Source organism: Homo sapiens, chromosome 6 (assembly GCF_000001405.40).
Source record: "Homo sapiens chromosome 6, GRCh38.p14 Primary Assembly".
Lineage (NCBI taxonomy): Eukaryota > Metazoa > Chordata > Mammalia > Primates > Hominidae > Homo > Homo sapiens.
Window position 1 is genome coordinate 125,094,476 of NC_000006.12, and position 21,351 is coordinate 125,115,826.

Genomic DNA, 21,351 nt, shown 5'->3' on the forward strand with positions numbered 1-21,351 from the left:
CTTAAATCCATTTGCATTTAGTCTCTTTCATGGTAATAAGCCCTCATAATTTCCTTCTGTTTTCCTATATTTCCAAGCCCCAAGCTGCTATGTTTAAAGACAAAAATGGTGATATCTTTTTATTATAGCTACAGTTGCCAACACACACATACATAAAACAGCAGAGATGTATTTAACTTACACAATTTACCACAAATGTGTGTCATGACATATGCTCCAGCATAAACTGAGATGGGAACCATGAATCTCCTGTTTCTTCTGGCATTCTGGTTGCAGAGTACCACTACCAGTGTTGAGCAGGCCAAATGTGATTCTGGCATTTAATAGTGTTTATCAAACTACACACCCCCTTATTTTGAGCCAATTATGTCATCTGGCACTCAACGATTTTTTTTTAATGCCTTTAATGTAGCCGGGATAGTCCATTGAAAGATGATGAGTCAGTCACCAATCGAGCCCCTGCTTAGGGAGTTTCTTACTCACCCTTGCCCAATATTGTGCCCCACATATTTGTTAATTAAATGTATATTTCAATAAGGTACTGTTAGGAGACTGGTATTGAAAGTGAAATGATTAGATTATTAGAAATGAAACTCCTGGTAGGCCCAGTTTTAACTCTCAAATCACAATTGAGGTAGGTTTGTGAAGAAGGTAAGAGCGCTGATGCTACGCTCCTGTATTTAAACCCCAAGTTGGCTTCTTTCAGGCTATATAACCTGGGATATGTTACTTAACCTCTCTGTGACTCAGTTTTCTGTAAATTGGGAATAATAGTGCAGGCCTCCAAGGTTAGTTGTGAGGATTAACTGAGTTTTAATACATGCTTAAGCACTTAAAATAGTGCCTTGCTCTTAACAAGCTTTCAGTAAATGTTAGTTCTTATTATTGTTAGTGACCACGCTTCATTTTAAACATGTTGGCCAACACAAAATGATTCATTGATGTCAGTTACAAGTAGCGCAGAATAATAGCATCACTCCTAGACGTTGTGTCAGGGCTGTGATATGAAGCATTCTAAAAGGCAAATTATTTTAATGGGTAATGCTTAACATGCACATTTCTAGAGTAGCATATTGGTTAAATATAAAGTTTTGCTCAAAGAGTCAATTATCATATGTTAGCTGACATCTATTGTTTTGTCCTCTGAGTAATTCTGTCTCACTCACCCAACCACGTTGTTCATTAGGGAGTTGCCACCTTTTCTCATGCTCCCCCCAATCAATGAAACCAGTTGGTTCACAGAGGGACACCCAAGTCAAGTTAAGCCAATTAATCCCCTCCCTAGGATTTTTGAACTTGAGACAATAAAAAGCCTGTCCCTATCCCCTTTTAATGATGCAGCTGTGAAATGTGAGCTTGGAAGCTTCCAGAAGCTATGTTTCTGCCACCTACAACAGATGGTCATGTGACTAAAGTGATTCACTTAAAGCCAAAGAATGACAAAGATTGCCAACAAACACCAGAAACTGGAAGAGACAGGGAAGGATTCTCCTCTAGAACTGTCAGAAAGAGCATGACCCTGCCAACATCTTGATTTCAGACTTCTAGCCTGTAGAACTGTGAGACAATACATTTCTCTACTTTCGATCCCCTCAGTTTAGAATGAAGCTGCTGACAGAGAGAAAGTGAGATGAAGCTGGAACAATCTTGGCAGCATTCTCAGGAATCTCCATCATACCAGAGACCTCATTGTTCCTCTGTTTTTTCCAAGCATTTGTTTATGTGAGCTACGGCCTGCGTTCTTTTTCCCATAGTTTTCACAACAAGCTTCTCTGGCCTTCTACCAATACGGTGGCTGAATTCTGACAGCAACATCCCAAATAGACTGGAAATTGAAGCTACCATTTTCTTTTCTTTTTTTTTTTTATTTTTATTTATTTATTTTATTTCATTTTTTTTTTTTTTTGAGGTGGAGTCTCGCTCTGTTGCCCAGGCTGGAGTGCAGTGGTGGGATCTCGGCTCACTGCAAGCTCCACCTCCTGGGTTCACGCCATTCTCCTGCCTGAGCCTCCAGAGTAGCTGGGACTACAGGTGCCCACCTCCACACCTGGCTAATTTTTTTTTTCTTTTTGTGTTTTTAGTAGAGATGAGGTTTCACCATGTTAGCCAGGATGGACTCCATCTCCTGACCTTGTGATCTGCCCACCTCAGCCTCACAAAGTGCTGGGATTACAGGAATGACCCACTGCGCCCAGCAGAAGCTACCATTTTCTTAAAGCCTGGGCCCCAAAACTGGTACCACACCATGGAAATAGTGGCAGCAGATCATGAAACTTGTCCCTGTCTCCTGGCCTAAAGAGATTGACTGTCTGAGGCACAGTTGCCATTTATTCATGCAACAAATATTTTTTGAGTACCTATTACATGCCAGACACTGTTACAAGTCATGGTTATAGATTAGTGAAGAAGAGACAAAAAAATGTCTGCCATAAGAAGGTTACGTTCTAGTATAGGAATCAGACAAATAAGCAAAATAAGTAAATTATAGAAGTGAAAGGGAGAAAAATAAAGCAGGGGAAAGTGATAGATAGTGGGGGTAAAAGGGCATGGGCTTCTGGGAAGGTAAAGTTTGAGCAAAAGTATGAGAGGTGAGAGAGCTGTACTGATGAGCTAACAGGGCATTCTAGGCAAAGCAAACAGCAGAGACAAGGGCTCAGAAAGGCAAGACTCCAGAGCAGCTGGAATAGAAGGAGAGGAGATGAGTATAAACAGAGAGGTGGGGGCATTGCTGCAAATGTAGGTGGGTAACTGTAGTGCATTTGCATTCAGTTTGAATGAGACGAAAAGTCCACTGAAGTTTGTAGACAGAAGGGTGCTATGGCCATCCCTAGGTCCCAACAGGATCATTCCGGCTGCTGCAATGAGACTAGAGTGAAGCAAATGGACAAAAGAAAAAGGTACAGATCAGCTGGCCAGAAGGACAGCTCCAAAATGAATAATGGCCCTATTCTTCTTCACACAGCTGGACTTCTCCCCATCTTTGCTAATGAAAACCAAATCACTTCCTTGGTAATAGTTTACTTTTTCTCTGTATTCATTCAATAAATAGCTATTGAGCACCCATAGGAGGATGCCCATGTTATCATGGATCCCCAAAAGAGAATGGCATATCTCTATGTGAGAGTCAAACTCACAATTTTTTTCAAAATTCTCAAAAGTTGGTCCAGAAAAAAAGTTACACAGCTATTTTACGCTTGGCCAAAAATATTTTAGTGGACTTCGGCATTCAGACCTTCAGATATGTAAGGGTGAGAATTGCAGCCTTTGGGGCATGGATATGAGGTGCCCAAGACAAAAACCTGGAGTTCGACCTGTCTGGCTATCTTTCACCCAACCTAGCTCAATCTGTCATTATATCTCCTAAATAACCTCTCTATTCACACCTTCACCCTTTAATTCAGATTGTCCTTCTTATTCAGATAATGGCAAGCATTGGGATTCTTGCCTTCAGGCTTCCCCTCTGTTTTGCCCATGCCTGTGATGTGACTGGCCATAGGCACTGTCCACTGCATCCTTCACAGTGCTATTAGGGTGATGCTACAAAAACACAATCTGATTTTATCACTTCTGTCTCAGGATGGGGTTTTCTGAGAAGCAGATTCCTAGATGGAAATTTGCATGCAGGAGGCTTATTGCTAAGGTTTACTGCACATCTATGAAGGAGTGAAATAAACAGGATTGGGCAGGGAGAGAAACTAGACTGCAATGAAGTCCCCACACAGGCCTGAGCTCATCAGCCATAACCTATCAGCCTGAAGCTGGGAAGGCTCTGCAGAGAGTTGTCCCAAATTGAAATGAGAGTAAGCCTTAACACTCTGCATAGATCAGTCATTGAATGGGAGCTGCCCTTGGAAGCATGACTTTGGGAGGAGGTGACCCTTTCAGCTGAGAACACTCCAGAGTGGGTTCAGCTTAGAACTGTCAGTCATCAACACTCTCAGGCTGGGCAGTGAACGAATCAGCCCCCGGAGTGGGTGGGTGGGATGAGACAGAGTAGCTTGGGGCAGGAGGAGAGGTGTGGGGAAAGGTGAGAGGTGGAGGTGAAACCTGGATAGCACGTTCCAAGTTAACCTCTCCAGTCCTTGCTCACTGTTGAGACATTGGGATCCCCCCCAACCCCCGACATTAAACAGAACTCTTCCTTCCACCATGCTCTATTAATATAATCACCAACAGATTGGTTATTTATTTTTGCTTATATTATGCATGAGGCCCTCTAGCAAGAACGTGAATTCCATGAGGTCACGGATCATGTTCTATTCATTTTTGGGTCCCCTCCACCGTCTATGGTAACTGGCAGGTACATCATAGGCATTGAAACGTTTGAGGAACAAATTACAAAACTATAAAACAAAAAAGTTTTATAAGAGACGTGCCCAAGACGCCTCAACTTCAGAATGGTGAAGCCAGGGATTCCAACTGGGTCTCCCTTCTCCAGAGTTGTAAGTGCACTAGGTTAGAATCAGCGGAAGAGTGGGAAATGGGAAGAACACGAAGCTGGAAATGGGAAACCTTAGTTCCAGCCTTGGTTTTCATCCTCCAACTGGCATGCTAACTTGCCCTCTCTGGGCTTCCTAGGTCTCTTATTCCTTATATTGGAGGTGTTGTTATGGATAATTTCAAAACAAATCTTTATCTAGCGCCTACTATGCGTTCACATAGTCTGTTCACGTGTATGTAATCCTTACAACCCCTCTGTGGTGTTATTAGTATCCTCGTTTTATAAACAATGTGGGAAAGAAAACAACAAAGCTAAGCCCAGCTAAACTAAAAAATAAAAAATAAAAAATACAGTTCAATGGTTTGTTTGAGGTCACATAGCAAAGGCTCAACTCAAACTCAGGTCTCCTGCTTGCCAGTCTGCGGTTCCTGCCATGGGGAAATTCTGTTATCTTTGAAGAAAATAATAAGTAAGGGAAGAGAGAGATGCCCTTTCACAACTGCAAAATTCTCTCCTCCCCAGTTTCCAGCTCCCATCATCAACAAAGAAAACCACGAAAACAAAAACAAATCCGGATTGCCTTTGTCCACAGTATAGAGGGCGGGGGCGGGGGCGGGGGCGAGGGCGAAGGCGAGGGCGTCGGCGGGGCTGCAGCCTCCACGCAGAGACCACTGATGGCTCCGCGCCGCTCAGTTGATCCCTTCCCACTGCACGGAGCGGGAGACTAAAGGCCCACTGCCCATGGCTGCGAAAACCTTCCTTCGGGAACGCGGAGCTAGTGCACGGGGGCATGTTCTTCCCCCGCAGCCCTGGCAAGCAGAGGCCGGCGGCCTGTGGCGCGGGGCAGTTGTGCTGGCTGCCGGGCGGGGCTGCTCTGGGTCTGGGTGCACGGAGAGGAGCGCGGAGTGAAGCGCACGGTGCACACTGCGGGGCGCTGCTTGTCACCTCCCTGCCCCTCCCTCTGCCCTCCCCCGCTGTCCGGAGCACAGTCCCGGGAGGGCGGATGTCCCCTGGGAAGATGCGCGAGGAGAGCGACTGGGAGGCAGCTAGCAGCACCTGCGTGTGGGCAACACGACCCGAGGCTGTCTCCATTGCCTGCGTGCTGAAAGCATAAAAGCTTTTTTTTTTCTTTTTTTGAGGAAGTAAATGTGTAAATTAAATTACTTTGGTGGGGGTTAGAAAACAGTTTTCCTCAGTGTCATGGTGACATCTTCCATCTGCCAGTTCACTTTTCATAAACCTGCTGATACATTTTCTACATCTCATTAAAAAGGTAACCCAAAAGAAAAGTAACGGGGGGAGAAGGAGATGAAAGGGAGAGAGAAAGGAAAGACAAAACGAAGAGAAAGTTAAAAAAAATAGACTAGGAAAGAGGGCCCACCAGGAACCAGGAGGAGCCCTGGGGATGGGGTCGGGACGAAAGCTGGCAAGAATTTCGGCTGAGTTCCTTTAACAAGTAGAAACGTGCGGGGTTGTGTGCGATTTTCCTGGAAAATCCTCACAACCCTATGAGATAAACATTATTCCCATTTCAGAGATGAGGAAAGTGAAGTCAGGACAGAGTTGCATCATCAATCTGATTTGAATACCAAGGGCAAGTTTTTTCCCACTACATCAGGGTATCCTGATCCGTTTTAAACTATTAGAATCACCGTTGTTGCATTATTTATTAGCCTTGACAGAGACTGAATAACCTCCCCCATCACAGAGTCTGCAAGGACAGAGGTGTGATCTAAACCTGGGCCTGGGAGCCCTGAGCTATCAAGCTAGACTGCTTCTCAGAGCCCTTCTCTTGTTAACCAGGGACTCTGAGGCAGGGTACCCAAACTGTCCTTTGACATCTGCAACTCTAAAAGAGTAATTGGAAATTGGGGAATAATAACACAACAGATAGAAGTTTTTGTTCCCATCAAATGAGACAGTGTATATGAAAGTACATAGCATAATACCAGTTATTTTCTTTCTGACATTCAATTCATTGAAAGTTTATTCAACATTACTTATTCAGTTTATTAGTAGTAGTAGTAGTAGTAAGCATGTTTAGGGCCCCTCCTGTGTTATTAGACATACCCTGTATGTGGATCTTGGTGAAGGCTGGGCTCCAATCCTGGTCTTGTGGAGAGTACTAGGCAAAGATTTAGGACAAATGGATTCCTATCTTGAATTCTTACATTAATTTGCTCTGTGATATTGGCATAGCCACATACCTTCCCAGACTTTGGTCTAAAATCAAGGAGTGCAAGGGTAGTCTCTAAGATCTCTTTCAGCAATGAAATGTGGGTCCATGTAACCTATATTTAAAGTTAGTTCCAACTGTTCAGTTCTATTATTTCTGTAATCCAGACAGGCCCTGTCAAGCAGCTGTGCATCTGCATACTCCCATAGGCTGGGTCTCTACCTCCTCCTCCTCCTCCTCCTCCTCCTCCTCCTCCTCCTCCTAACTCCTACTTCTCCATCGTCCTCAGCCCCAGCATTTTCTCCTGCTAGATGCCATCCTGCCTGTACCATCCAGGGTGCATCACCATGGCCCCCTCTGTTAAGGACTCTTTGTAAATCACCACTGAGCAAGGCACTTGTATTAGTTTTCTAGGGTAGAAGTAGCAAAATACCACAAACTGGGTGGGTTACAACAACAAACTTAATTCTCTCATAGAGAGGCCTGAAGTCTGAAATCAAAGTGTCAGCAGCACTGTTTCCTTCTGGAGGCTCTGAAGGAGAATCTGTTTTTTGTCTCTCTCCTCGCTTCTGGTGGTTGCCAGCAATCCTTGGCATTCTTTGACTTGCTGTATCTTCACTTCACTTCAGTCATTGGATATAGGACCCAACCTTATCCAGTGTCATCTTTGGGGCAGAAATGTGTTCTCTCTAAATTCATATGTTGAAGTCCTAATCCCCACAGCCTCAGGCTGTGACTGTATTTGGAGATAGAATCTTGACACAGGGAACTAAGTAAGGTAGAATGAGGTCATACGGGTGGGCCCTAACCCAATATGACTGGCATCCTCATAAGAGGAGATTGGGACACAGGCATACACAGAGGAAAGTTCATGCTGAAGACATAAAGAAAAGATGGCCAACTGCAAGCCAAGGAGAGAGGCCTCAGAGGAAATCAACCCTGTTTACACCTTGATCTTAGACTTCTAGCCTCCAGAACTGTGAGAAAATAACTTTCTATTGTTTAAGTCCCTCCCACTCCAGGTCTGTGGTACCTTGTTATGACAGCCCTAACAAAGGAATACAGACCTTCACTTAAATACTACAATTACATCCACAAACACCCTATTTCAAATAAAGTCACATTCTGAGGTTCCAAGAGGACATTAACTTTTGGGAAGACACCATTCAACCTATTACAGCACTTTTCACAGTTTCCTTCAGGTCTTTGTGTTCCTTCAAGGCAGGGACAATTATCCCCAACAGGGCACAAGTCCTGGCCCTTAATATGTGCTCTACAAAGGGAGAAGGAAGAAAGGAAGTAAAAAGTAAAAGAAAAGAAAGAGAGTAATAACAGAAAAGAGAGAGGAAGGAAAAGGGAAAAAAAAGGAAGGAAAGCTGCATGCTTTCCTAGTTTCCTCGTTTCAATTACATCCTTCAAAACAAAATACTGTTCTTCTTGAGCAAAAGATTTCTTAAAGCGTCTTTGAATTTCTGTGTGTATGCAATTTACTTTGAAACATGCAAAGGAAAGAAATAAGGGAAACGTGATAATATCCTGTTGCCTCATTGCTGGCCCTGAAAAACACTTCCAAGGGGTTGCCCAATTAAATATAATACACTCAGTTAAATTTTAATTTCAGATAGACAAGCAGTAATTTTTAGTATAAGTATGTCCTAAATGTGATATATATAAGTGTGTGTGTACATATATGTGTGTGTGTATGTGTGTGTATATATATATACACACATATATATATATACACATGTACACTAGACATGATAGAAAGAACATAGACATTGGGCCCATACAAATTTAGGCTCCAGTTTTTACTACCTTTTAGCTCAGGGACCTGGGGCAAGTTACTTAATCTCTTTGTATGTCAGATTCTTCATCTATAAAATTATAATAGACCTATGGGAAAGGGTTGTTGGGACTTTAAAATGTCTGGTATGTGCTGCTTCCGTAACTAGAACAGTGTCTAACACATAGTAATCAATGACTCAACAAATATTTTTGAAGGAATGAAAGAACACATTCCCTTCTTCCCTATATGGACTTCCCTGGAGGATTGGGACAGCCAACCCAACAATAGCAGGGGCCCTAGGACAGGCCACAGCACAGTCCAGGGAGCACCCCAGCCTTCCATGGTAGAAAACCCACTCCACATCCACTGTTCCTCGGAATAATCTGGTTTTAGGATGCAGGGGACATACAACCAATTTGATACAGGCAGAGTTTTCCTTCTAGAAAATGTGTGTGTTTTTATTACAGAACAAAGGCGACAACATCTTACACTAAAATTCAAAAGTCTGTAAACCTTAGAGAACCTATTTCCATATGTAATGCATTGAATTTAAAGGCACACTCCTATTTGTGAAGGTGATTCTAACTAATTTAAATGGACCTAAATAGTTTTTAAATAGCAATATAAGCAGATGCTATCTTATTAGAAAATCATTTGAGCAGCACATTTATTTCCTAGAGCTGGAATCAAATCGTTCTATCTCCTTCTACAGTATGCATTTTTATGTAATCAATTGGTAATAGTGAAAAATATCTTAAAAGTGCATTGTTTCTTGACAGAAGGCTATTTCTTTTCAGAAATAAAAATCATTGTGAAAGAAGATATTTATTCTTAATGCTACAACTGAAACTAGGGGTTTTGTTATTGACTTGCTTCCTAATCAAGAAACTTCCATCATATAAATAAGGTGGTCTGGGTAGTGAAATGAGCATTGATTCAGGAGTCGAAAAACCTGGTTTCTGTGCCTCCTCCTGGGTGCTGCAGCCTCGGACCAGGTGCTCAACCCTGGAGCCAAATTTCCTTCCCTTGACTATGAGGGGAACCAGCTCTCTCATATACTTATACCATATTATATAACCAATAATATGCAATAAAATCAAACTACAGCAATTATAATCCTCTTTTACAATTTTATAAAGTTAAATTTTGCTTTAACAACTATAAAATGGGAATAAGTGTACTTTGGATACCGTTCGTGTAGGAAGCCCAAAGTAGTATTCAATGAATGGAAACTCCCTTCCCCCTTCCCTCAAGCAAATCACTCTTAACCCAGAAAATGTTATTGACAACTGCTGGGTTATAATTGTGATTTTTTTCCCCCCCGCCCCCAATTAATATGCTTCCCATACTGGCCATTAATTCAACATTGAATGAACACATATTAGCTTGCCAACTTTGAATGTTGTTTTGCTCAGTTAGACATGATTTCATACCTTAAGACTTTTTAAGGCTTATATTTTTTAGCCTATCTACTATTTAAACTGGGTACAGGAAGTGCCAGTTTAAGGAGGACAGCCCCAAGAAATGGTCCAGGCATTTCATGAGGGAGATTGGATGATTTTCCCCTCAACCAGCGGCACAGAGGCCCTTTCAATGCCTAGAAATAGATCTCCTATTGAGCCTCTGTTTATCTCCTCTGACCATAAAAAGCAGCTGGCTCTGCAGGAAAGACTGGTGGCTGCAATTAACTCCAGGAGGCCAGAAGCCGAAATCCTGTGCAACACGAATAAAGGCTTCTCAAAGAACTTGTGGAGTCATGTTGCTAGCTCATTGCTAGAACCATTCAGTCTTCTGAGGAAGAAATCTGTGAGCTAAACACCAAACACATCACTGTAAAATTTCCTGTAACCACCAGCGGCACTCCAAATCATTCCATTATTCTCTGAGTTGCTTCACAGTGACTGGGTATTAAATCTGCTGTGTGGCTAAATGCTGATGGCATTTTGTTAAATGAAAAGCATTTTAAAGAGGATTGGTTGATCCAATTGTTCTCATATTCTATTACTTTGCATTCAAACTTAACTCAGTATTAGACTAATAGTAACTATGAAAATAAAAAGAAAGCAGAATCTGATTTTTTTAAGTCCACTGGAGGCAATAAGAAGTTTCTATTGGAACACTTCACATGTTGTTAAACAATTACCAGATTATTAGAAAACACTTTCAAATACCTCTTTGATCTTTGCTAAGAGCCCTGATGAACATTTTTCTTACTGCTTATATTCCCCACAGATAAAATACAAAGACCTGGAAAATAGCAATAATCTAATTATTAGGCATATGTCCAGGAACAGAAGTGAGAAGTAGTAAAGGCAATCAAATGTTCATCTGAAACCTATCCCAGATGAACAGTCCAACTTAACTTGGTGCTGTTATTCTTTTTTTTTTTTGAGATGGAATTTCACTCTTGTTGCCCGGGCTGGAGTGCAATGGCACGATCTCCCCTCACTGCAACCTCTGCCTCCCAGTTTCAAGCGATTCTCCTGCCTCAGCCTCCCAAGTAGCTGGGATTACAGGCATGTGCCACCATGCCCAGCTAATTTTGTATTTTTAGTAGAGACAGGGTTTTTCCATTTTGGTCAGGCTGGTCTTGAACTACCAACCTCAGGTGATCTGCCTGCCTCAGCCTCCCAAAGTGCTGGGATTACAGGCGTGAGCCACCGCGCCCGGCTGGTGCTGTTATTCTTAAACCAAAAAAAAAAAAAAGACTCCAAATCTTCAACCCAAAAATTTCTTTAAGGCTGAACAAATGTGTTTAAAGCTATAGGTAACCATAAGGTAACCAGAAATCTGAGGAAAGGTGTTGACTGATTACACTTGCTAGCAACTGATTGCCTCTATATGGCTGAAGTAAAAGGATGGAACTAGGAGGTATCAATACAGGGTGGTTGGGATAAGTATAACAATAAAGGTAAATATGGCTTTTTTTTTTTTTTTTTTTGAGACAGGGTCTCCCCCTGTAGCCCAGACTGGAGTCCAGTGATGCAATCATAGCTCACTGCAGCCTTGAATTCCTGGACCCAAGTAATCCTCTCTCCTCAGCCTCTCACGTAGCTGAGACTATAGGCATGCACCACCAACCCCAACTAATTTTTTTAGGTTTTGTAAAGACAGAGTCTTGCTATGTTGCTCAGAGTGGTCTCAAACTCGTGGTCTCCAGTGATTCTCCAGCTCCAGCCTCCCAAAGTGCTGGAATTACAGGTGTAAGCCACTATGCCTGGACCATAAGACAATTTTGTAGACATTTTAGGCAAAATAATTACATTAGCCTCCAATACACACACACACATACACACATATACACACACACATACACACACACACGCGTGCACACACACCCCAGACATAAGTCGTGTGTATGTGTATGTTCTAGAGCTTGCTTCTGTCGGTTTGTGAGAGTCGACTATGAGAGTCTCTTCTAGACTATGTTCAGTAACATCAAGTTGGCAGTTTGAAATTGGCAAAGATGAGAGTACACTTCTAAAACTGGCCAACTGTGCAAACCAGAGGGTTGCCTTTTGTTGTTGTTGTTTGTTTGTTAGTTTTGAGACAGAGTCTCTCTCTGTCACCCAGGCTGGAGTGCAGTGCTGTGATCATGGCTCACTGCAACCTCCGCCTCCTGGGTTCAAGCGATTCTTATAGCTCAGCCACCAGAGTGGCTGGGACCACAGGTGTGCACCACCACACCAGGCTAATTTTTGTATTTTTAGTATAGATGGTGTTTTGCCATGTTGCCTAGGCTGGTCTTGAACTCCTGGCCTCAAACAATCTACCTGCCTCAGCCTCCCAAACTGCTGGGATTACAGGCATGAGCCCCTGCATCTGGCCCAGATGGTTTTGTTTTTTTGAGGTTTTATCTTGTTTTGGGTAGAGTAAGGGTATCAGAGTAAGCTGCTCTCCCAGTACAATGGGTGGTGTGAGTGTATGTATCTATATGTATATGTACATATATGTACATGCCTGTACCCATATATAGACATACATATTAAAGGTATGTTTTATTTTAAAATTGTATTTTGGTAAAATAAATGATAAAAGTAGATTAAATTTAAAAAATAATTTCCTGGTTCCAAAAGTGAAACTATCCTTAGGAGCCCTTCTGTGAAGAAACAGATGTAAAATATGAGCACAATGTTAATGCCACCACCTGCCAATCCATAGATTAAGTAGGGAGGAAAAATGGAAGCTAGCTTATGTAATAGTCATATTACAGTTCTTACCACTTGTTACAGATGAATTGTGTCCTCCTACAATTCAAATGTTGTAGTTCTAACTTGTAGTATCTCAGAATGTAACTGTGTTTGGATGTGTAGTCTTTAAAGAGGCAATAAAGTTAAAATGAGGTCATCGTATTAGGCCCTAATTCAAAAGGACTGGTGTAGAAGAGGAGATTAGAACACAGACACATACAGAGGAACTCATACTGCCCGCTTCTTTAGGTAGTATGACTACTTTAACAACATTAATTCTTCCAGTCCACGAACGCAGGTTAGTTATCTTTCTATTTATTTGTGTCTTCTTCAATTTATTTAATCGATGTTTATAATTTTCCAAGTAGAGATCTTTTACCCATTGGTTAAGTTTATTCTTAGATATATTATTTTTCATTGCTATTGTAAATGGAATTGCTTTCTTGATTTCTTTTTGACAGTTGGCTATTAGCATATATAAACACTACTCATTTTTGTATTTTGATTTCGTATCCTGCAATGTTAATAAATTTGTTTATTAATTCTAACAGGTTTTTGGTAGAGTATTTAGGAGTACTGTAGTCATCAATACTGACAGTATTTGGTGGAGTATTTCTGTATGTAAGATATGTCATATGCAAAGAGGATATACTTCCTCTTTTCCAACTTGGATGTTTTTCATTTCTTTCTTTTGCCCAATTATTCTGGCTAATACTTCCAGTACTATTAATATGTTGTACAGAAGTGGTGAAAATGGGAATCTTTGTCTTGTTCCTGGTCTTAGAGAAAAAGTTTTCAGCTTTTCCCTCATTCAGTATGATGTTAGCTGTGAGTTTGTTATATATGGCCTTTATTGTGTTACGATACACACCTTCTGTGCCTAATTTGTTGAGAGTTTTATTCATAAAGTATGTTGATTTTTGTCAACTGCTTTTTTTGCATCTGTTGAAATGACCATATAGGTTTTGTCTTTCTTTTTGTTAATGTGATGTATCATGGTTATCGATTTGCATATGTTGAATCATCCTTGCAACCTTAGATGAATCCCACTTACTCATAGGGAATTATCTTTTTGATGTGCAGTTGAATTTGTTTTACTACTATCTTGTTGAGAATTTTTGCCTCTATGTTCATCCAGGATATTGGCCTTCAGTTTTCATTTTTGTTTTGTTTTTGTCCGATTTTGAAACCAGGGTAATGCTGGCCTCATAAAATTGATTTATTTATTTGTTTAGATATGAGCTCACTCTGTTGCCCTGGCTGGAGTGCAGTGGTGTGATCATGGCTCATTGCACCTTTAAACTTCTGGGCTCAAACAATCCTCCTACCCTAGCCTCTCAAGTAGCTAGGACTATAGGCATCCACCACCATAGCTGGCTAAGCTTTATTTTTATTTATTTTTTTATGTTTGTAGAAACAGGTCTTGCTTTGTTGCTCAGGCTGGTAGTTCTTCTTTAAATGGTTGGTAGAATTCAGCAGAGAAGACACAAGTCTAGATTTTTTTTTCTTTTGGATAGAAGACTTTTTACTACTGATTCAATTTCCTCACTTAACTATTGGTTTGTTCGTATTTTCTATTTCTTCATAATTTAATCTTGGTAGGCCGTATTGTCCAGGAATTTATTCACATATTCTATGTTCTCAAATTTGTTGGTATATAGTAGTTCATAATAGTCTCTTATGATCCTTTCTATTTCTGTGATATCAGTTGTAATATCCCCTTTTCATTTCTGATTTTATTTGTATCTTTTCTTTTTTTGTGTTGGCTAGTGTAGTTAAAAAGTTTGTTGATGTTGTTTATCTTTTAAAACACCAACCGTTCATTTCTGTTTTAGTTCATTCTCACACTGCTATAAAGATATTACCTGAGACCAGGTAATTTATTTAAAAAGGAGGTTTAATTGACTCATAGTCCTGCATGGCTGGGGAGGCCTCAGGAAACTTACAATCATGGAAGAAGGGGAAGCAGGGACCTTCTTCACAAGGCAGCAGGAGAGAGAGAGTGAGCAAAGGAAGAACTTGCCAAACACTTATACAACCATCAGATCTCATGAGAACTCACTCACTATTATGAGAACAGCATGGGGGAAACTGCCCCCATGATCCAATCACCTCCCACCAGGTTCCTCCCTCGACACGAGATAATAATTAAAGATGAGGTTTGGGACGGGACACAAAGCTTAACCATATCAATTTCATTGATCTTTTGAATTTTCTTAGTCTCTATTTCATTCATTTCTGCCTTGAGCTTTATTATTTCCTCCCTTCTTTCAACTTAATTTGAAAGAAATATAATTTGTTCTTACTTTTCTAGTTTTTTGAGGTTCATGATTTGGTTGTTAATTAGGAATATTTCTTCTTTTTGATGTGGCCATTTGTTGCTGTGCATTTCTGTCTTAGAACTGTTTTTGCTGTGTTCCATTGATTTTGGTATGATGTGCTCATCATTCTCATCTGTTTCGAAGAATTTGTAGATTTCCCCTTATTTCTTCATTGACCCGTTGGTTATTTAGGAGCATATTGTTTAATTTTCATGTATTTGTAATGTTTCTGAAGTTTCTTTTGTTGATTTCTAGTTTTACACCGTTGTGGTTCAAAAAGATGCTTGATATGATCTCTATCTTCTTAAATTTGTTAAGACTTGTTTTGTGGCCTAATATATGATCTATCCTGAAGAATGTTCCATGTACAGTTGAGAAGAACATGTATTCTGCAGCTGTTAGATAAAATGTTCTGTAAATATCTGTTAGGTTAATTTAGTCTAAGGTAGTTCAAATCTGATATTTCTTTATTGATTATTGATTTTCCATCTAGATAATCTGTTCATTGTTCAGAGTGAGGTGTTGAAGTCCCCTATTACTGTATTACACTGTATCTCTCCCTTCAGATCTAATAATATTTGCTTTACATATTTGTGTGTTCTGGTGTTGGGTGCATATATAGATATAATTGTTATATCCTCTTGTTAAACTGATTCCTTTATCATTATATAATGACCTTGTCGCTTTTTATAGTTTTTGTCTTAAAGTCTATTTTATCTGATGTAAATATAGCTACTTCTGCTTGCTTTTGCTTTCTGTTTGCATGAAATATCTTTCCCTATTCTTTCATTTTCAACCAATGTTTGTCTTTCAAGATGAGATTAGTCTCTTTTAGGCAGCATATAGTTGGGTCTTGTTTCTTTATCCATTCAATCACTCAATATCTTTTAAATGGATAATTTAATTCCTTTACATTCAAAGTTATTATTGATAGATAAGGACTTTCACAATTTCCTTAATTGTTTCTGGTTGTTTTGTAGATCTATTCTCTTTTTGTTTACTGCTTGGTTTGTTTTTTTGTAGTGTTAAACTTTGTTTCCTTTCTCTCTCTCATTTGTGTATGTGCTGTAATTTCTTTCTTTGTAGTTACCATAGAGTAACACAAAGAGTCTTGTAGATATAATAGACTATTTTAAGCTTATTAGAAACTTAACTGTGGTCATATAATAATACTCTACACTTCCTCCCCTCTCCTTCTCCCTCTCCCTCTCCCAAATAATTTACATTTGTTGCTTTAATGTATTTCTTCATCTGTTATGTGTCCCTTAGCTACTAATAGTAGCTGTTGTTTTTTTTGACCATTTGGCTTCAAACTTTCATACTAGAGGGTTAAAAGATTTACATAGCACCATTACATAACTGGGGTAATCTGAGTTTGATTTATGAGTTTATCCTAGTCCTGAGTTTTATACTTTTAGGTTTTATGACAGTGATTATTGTTGTTTCACTTTAGTTGTAACACTCTGTTAAGAATTTTTTGTAAGTCTGGTTGACATATTTTGGATATTTTTCCCCTCCACATATCCTGTTGAAATTTGATCCCCAATGTTGGATGTGGGGCCTTGTGGGAGGTGTTTAGGTCATGGGGCTGGATCTTTTATGAATGGCTTGATGCCATTTCCCCAATAATGAGCGAGTTGTCACTCTTAGTTTTCAGGAGATCTAATTGTCAAAAACCATCTGGCACCTTCTCTTCTCTCTTGGTCCCACCCTCATCATGTAACACACTAACTTCCCTTCACCTTCTGCCCTGAGTGGAAGCTCCCTGAATCCCTTACCAGAAGCAGATTCTGGCACCACACTTCTTGTATAGTCTGCAGAGCTCTGAGACAAATAAACCCTTTTCTCTACAAATTACCCAGCCCCAGGTATTTCTTTATGGCAATGCAAATGGACTAAGACACTGGTCTAGTGGTGATGAGTTCCCTCTTCTTTTCTGGACGTAGTGTTACTGGCTGACTTTCTTTTTTTCTTTCAGCACTTTGAAAATATGACTCATTCTCTCTTGACCTACAAGGTTTCTGCTAAGAAATCTGCTGATAGTCTCATGGGGATTCCCTTATATGTGACTTGACATTTTTCTCCTGCAGCTTTTAGAATTTGCTCTTTGTCTTTGTTTCACTATAATGTGCCTTGGAGAGGATCTTTTTGGGTTGAATCTATTTGGAAACTCTTGAGCTTCCTGAATCTGGATGTCCATATCTTTTCCAATACTTGGGAGAAGTTTTCAGTTATTATTTCTTTAAACAGGATTTTGTGCCTTTCTCCATCTCTTCTTCCTTGGCGTATCTATAATGCAAATATTTGTGCAGTTAATGATGTGTCGTAAGTCTCATAGACTTTATTCACTCTTCTTTACTTTTTTTTTGTCCACTGACTGGCTTATTTCAAAAGGTCTGTCTTCAAGTTCAAAAAGTATGTCTCCTTCTTGATCTAACCTGTTGTTGAAGCTCTCGATTATATTTTTTATTCATTTATTGAATTATTTAGCTCCAAGACTTGTTTGATTCTTTTTCATATTTATCTCTTTGTTGGATTTCTCTTTCAGATCATAAAAATTTTTTTGAGACTGTGCCTCACTCTGTCACCCAGGCTGGAGTGCATTGGTGTGATCTTGGCTTACTGCAACCTCTGCCTCCCAGGTTCAAGCAGTTCTTCTGCCTCAGCTCCCAAGTAGCTGGGATTACAGGCATGTGCCACCACATCTGGCTAATTTTTGTATTTTTAGTAGAGGTGGGGTTTCACCATGTTGGCCAAGCCTGACTCAAACTCCTGACCTCAAGTTATCCACCTGCCTCAGCTTCCCAAAGTATGGGGATTACAGACATGAGCCACTGCACCTGGCCATAAATTGTTTTCTTAATTCCATTGAATTGTGTGCCTGTGTTCTCTTCTATCTTACTGAGTTTCCTTAAGATTATTTTGAATCCCTTCTCAGATATTTCATAAATGTCTTTTTCTTTGGGATCTGTTACTTGAGGCCTATTTGAGTTTTGGGAGTGTCATATTTTCTTCCTTTTTCATGTTTCTTGTGTTTCTATATTGATATCTGCAAATCTACTATAAAAGTCACTTTTTCCAGTTTTTTGAAGTAGCTTTTGAGTGAGAAACTTTTTCCTTTAAGTGGGTTTTAGGATGCTGGTTGGCTGTAGAGTTGGATTTGGTTCTGCGTGAACTCGGGAGTGTGGTCTCTGTGTAGTTTCTTCCATTGTAATCCTTGTCAGATATGTCTGTGATTGCCTCAATGGCCTAGGCTGCTGGTGTTTGTGATGGTGTGGTTTTGCTGAAGATGGGGGCACCAGGCTGGATGTTGAGCCAGAAAAATATATTTGTGGAGGATTGACAGGTAGTTCAGTGGGCTCTTTGAGGAAGCAGTGGCAGCTGCTTGGCTGGCCGTCAGAGGCCAGGCATGGGCACTCATGGGTTCAATGGGGCCAGGCGGTTATGCAGTGGTCTGTTCAGGGGGCAGGGTTACTCCCAGACCTGCGGTAAGAGGCCAGGTAGGGGTGCTAGTGGGTGCATTGGGTGCATTCAAGACCAGGTAGCTCTGTGGTAGCTTGTCCAGAGGGATGAGGTTACTGCAGAACCAGTTGTCAGGCTGTGCATGGGTATTCATGGGCACAGTGGAGCTGGGCAGGATGCAGCAGTATATCCTGCAGGTCAGGCTGCCACAGGACCAGCTGTCAGGCCAGGTGGGAGCCCACAAAGCTTGCTGGATCTGCTAGCTGTGCAGTGTGGGTGTGTGCAGGCCTAGTGGCTGATAGGCTGTTCAGCAGCTTCTCCTGTATGCAGTTCCACCTGTTCTCTGGAGGGGGTGATATGCTGTATGGGTTCATATGCTGGGTTCTTGGCCATTCCATCTGGTTTGTACTCTAGACAGCTGGAACCATGGTGTTGCAGGCCCTTGTGTGAACACAGTGGCACAACAGCAGGGCCTCAGCAATGGAATCAGTTGCTAGTGACCATAGAGCAGGACACACTCTAATAGTAGTCCCAGTTTCAAGATGGCACCAAACTATAACAGTGTAGGTTGTGGTGGAGGGGCATGCTCAAGAAGGGTCTTACTATGAAATAGTGCAGCTGCGCAGACTCCCAGCTACACTGCAGACTTGATTCAGAGCCTGTGAGAACTGAGGTGCTCTCCTGTAGCAAGGACTGTGAGCATATGTGGAAGCAATGGAGGCCACTAGGGTTCTCCAGCTCACCTTTTCCTTGTAGAAAGAAGTTCCCTCTGACTCCCAGTTGATCTCTGTGTGGGAGACAGTGTGGCAGACAGTGTGGCAGAGGGAGGATGCCTTGCTTTCCTCTCTATGGTACTCTTCTGGGTTTTTGTACTCCACAGAGTTGTTGCTGTTCCCCTGGTGCTCTCAGCTTTCTTCCTCAGTCACTCTAGTTGAAATATAGTTGTTTATTCATTGTTTTTTTCCTTTCTGTGGGGAGGATGAAATCCAGGTAACTCTAATTGGCCATCTTGCTGATGTCACCCTCAGATGTTATGTATTTAATGCACATGAAGATGCAGAAAGAGATAAAGGGAGAGAATTTATTCTGAGATCCTTGAAAGGTCATTTGCCTTAGTAAAATATGAGGATTTAGCTTCAGACATAATTATCTCCATGAATAACTGCCTTACCATGTACTTTTGAGCAAATTAATTCATCTCTCTAAGCTTCAGTGTCTTCATCTACAAACAAGGAATGCAATATACCATAACTCACAGGGTTACTGCAGATTATAACTGAGGTCATTTACGTCGATGTCTTAGCACAGTGCATTGAACAATGTTAAATGCAAAAAACAAATCGAAACAAAAACAAAACAATGAAACATTGTTATTATCTGAAATAATCTCATTTATAGAATGGAGATAATAATAGTTACTTTTAATAAATATTGTGAGAAGAAAATGAGTTTATATATGTAAATTGCCTAACAAAGTGCTTAAAACAAAATAGCTAATCAAGAAATGATAGCTATTATCATCATTGAATTTACCATTGAAATAAAGTCATCTTTAACATGCTTATGTCTTAAAGTGTTTATGATTTGGCGCCCTCTGATGTTCATCATGGGCCCTGCAATTTTGAATCAGTTGATAAGTGTTAATAATGTAATCAGTTAGTGATGATCATTTACATGCTATTTTGCCATATCCAAATAAGCTGTTTTTATTTTAAATTTCTATTTAAGTTGGCTTACTTCTTAAGATAAACTCAATGTATTACACAAGCTAATTTTAATCATTATGATAGAAAACCAGTATGTTTTTAATACATGCTAAAATAAATACATAACTATTAACATAAAAAATTCTTCATTTGAGTACCAACTAGAATCATACCTCATACAACACTTTGGAAAAGCTAATTTTATATAAATAGGTTTTATGGTATAAGGGGTCAGGGAAGCTGTCACAAAAAAGTTATTTTTCAAAATGGAAGCAAGAATGATGAGAAGTTAGTTTGATAGGCAAGGAGACAAAGAACTTTCCCAAGAGAGACTAAAGTATATGTGAATGCAAAGAGTTGTGGAAACACTTGCCTCTTGGGGAAACTGCAATTTGTTATAAATGGCTGGACCCCAGAGTGCAATGAATGATTGGCACATCATTCGTTGGCACATCATGGCAATGCAGGGAGAGAAGTGGGCAGTGGCCCCACTGGGCAAGGCCTCTTGTGTCATGCAGAAGACTGTGGATTTGCTTACTGTAGATTCATCATTTCCACAAAAATAGAGGCTCATGAAATTTTAAGAAATATTCCCACCACCATTGAAATATGTGTATTTGTGGTGTGTGTGTTTGTGTGTGTGTGTGTGTGTGTGTGTGTGTGTAGTCAACTTTGGGAAATGCTGAGTTAATCCAAATTAAGCAGAATTTTGTTTTTATTATAGAAATTGTTATAATATAATAAAATTATAAGAGGGAGTGATAATATGAATATTTCACAATGTGTTTGATCTTGAAATCTGTTTACTTTTTAAAATGTTATCTGATTTGTTTTATTTATTTTAGAAGCAATATAGATAACATCAGGTAGATAAAATTTTGAGAAATGCCCTTGGGTTATGGAGAGTTTTTTTTAATTTATGAAGATAGTAATAACATGATTAGATTTGTGATAGTAATAACATTATTAGATCATGGATAACAATATGGTTGTGATTTTCAGGGGGAAAAAACTAGAGGCTGCCAAATAAACTAGATGATGGCTGGATCACCCCTAATCCACATGTAGAAAATGTAATACACTCACTGTGTATATCATGAATTTTAAACTATGAGAACATAAAAACAGATTTAGGGTATAGTACATTCAAGGGCAGTAGTTTATGCTCTTCAAAAAACAGACTCATTAAATAAAGCAATGGTCCTTGTTGGAAGAAATGATACTACCCAAGAGACAAAAAGAACTGACAGACTTCATAGAAAGATACAT

At 40.1% G+C, this 21,351-nt stretch overlaps 1 annotated feature.

Annotated features, from left to right (window-relative positions):
• Nucleotides 10,931–11,164: a silencer, noted in NCBI's record as "fragment chr6:125426552-125426785 (GRCh37/hg19 assembly coordinates)". NCBI's record gives its function as "represses an EF-1alpha promoter that drives an FKBP-Casp9 reporter gene in an ReSE screen in K562 erythroleukemia cells {active_cell/tissue: K562}" and the evidence as "EXISTENCE:reporter gene assay evidence [ECO:0000049][PMID:32094911]".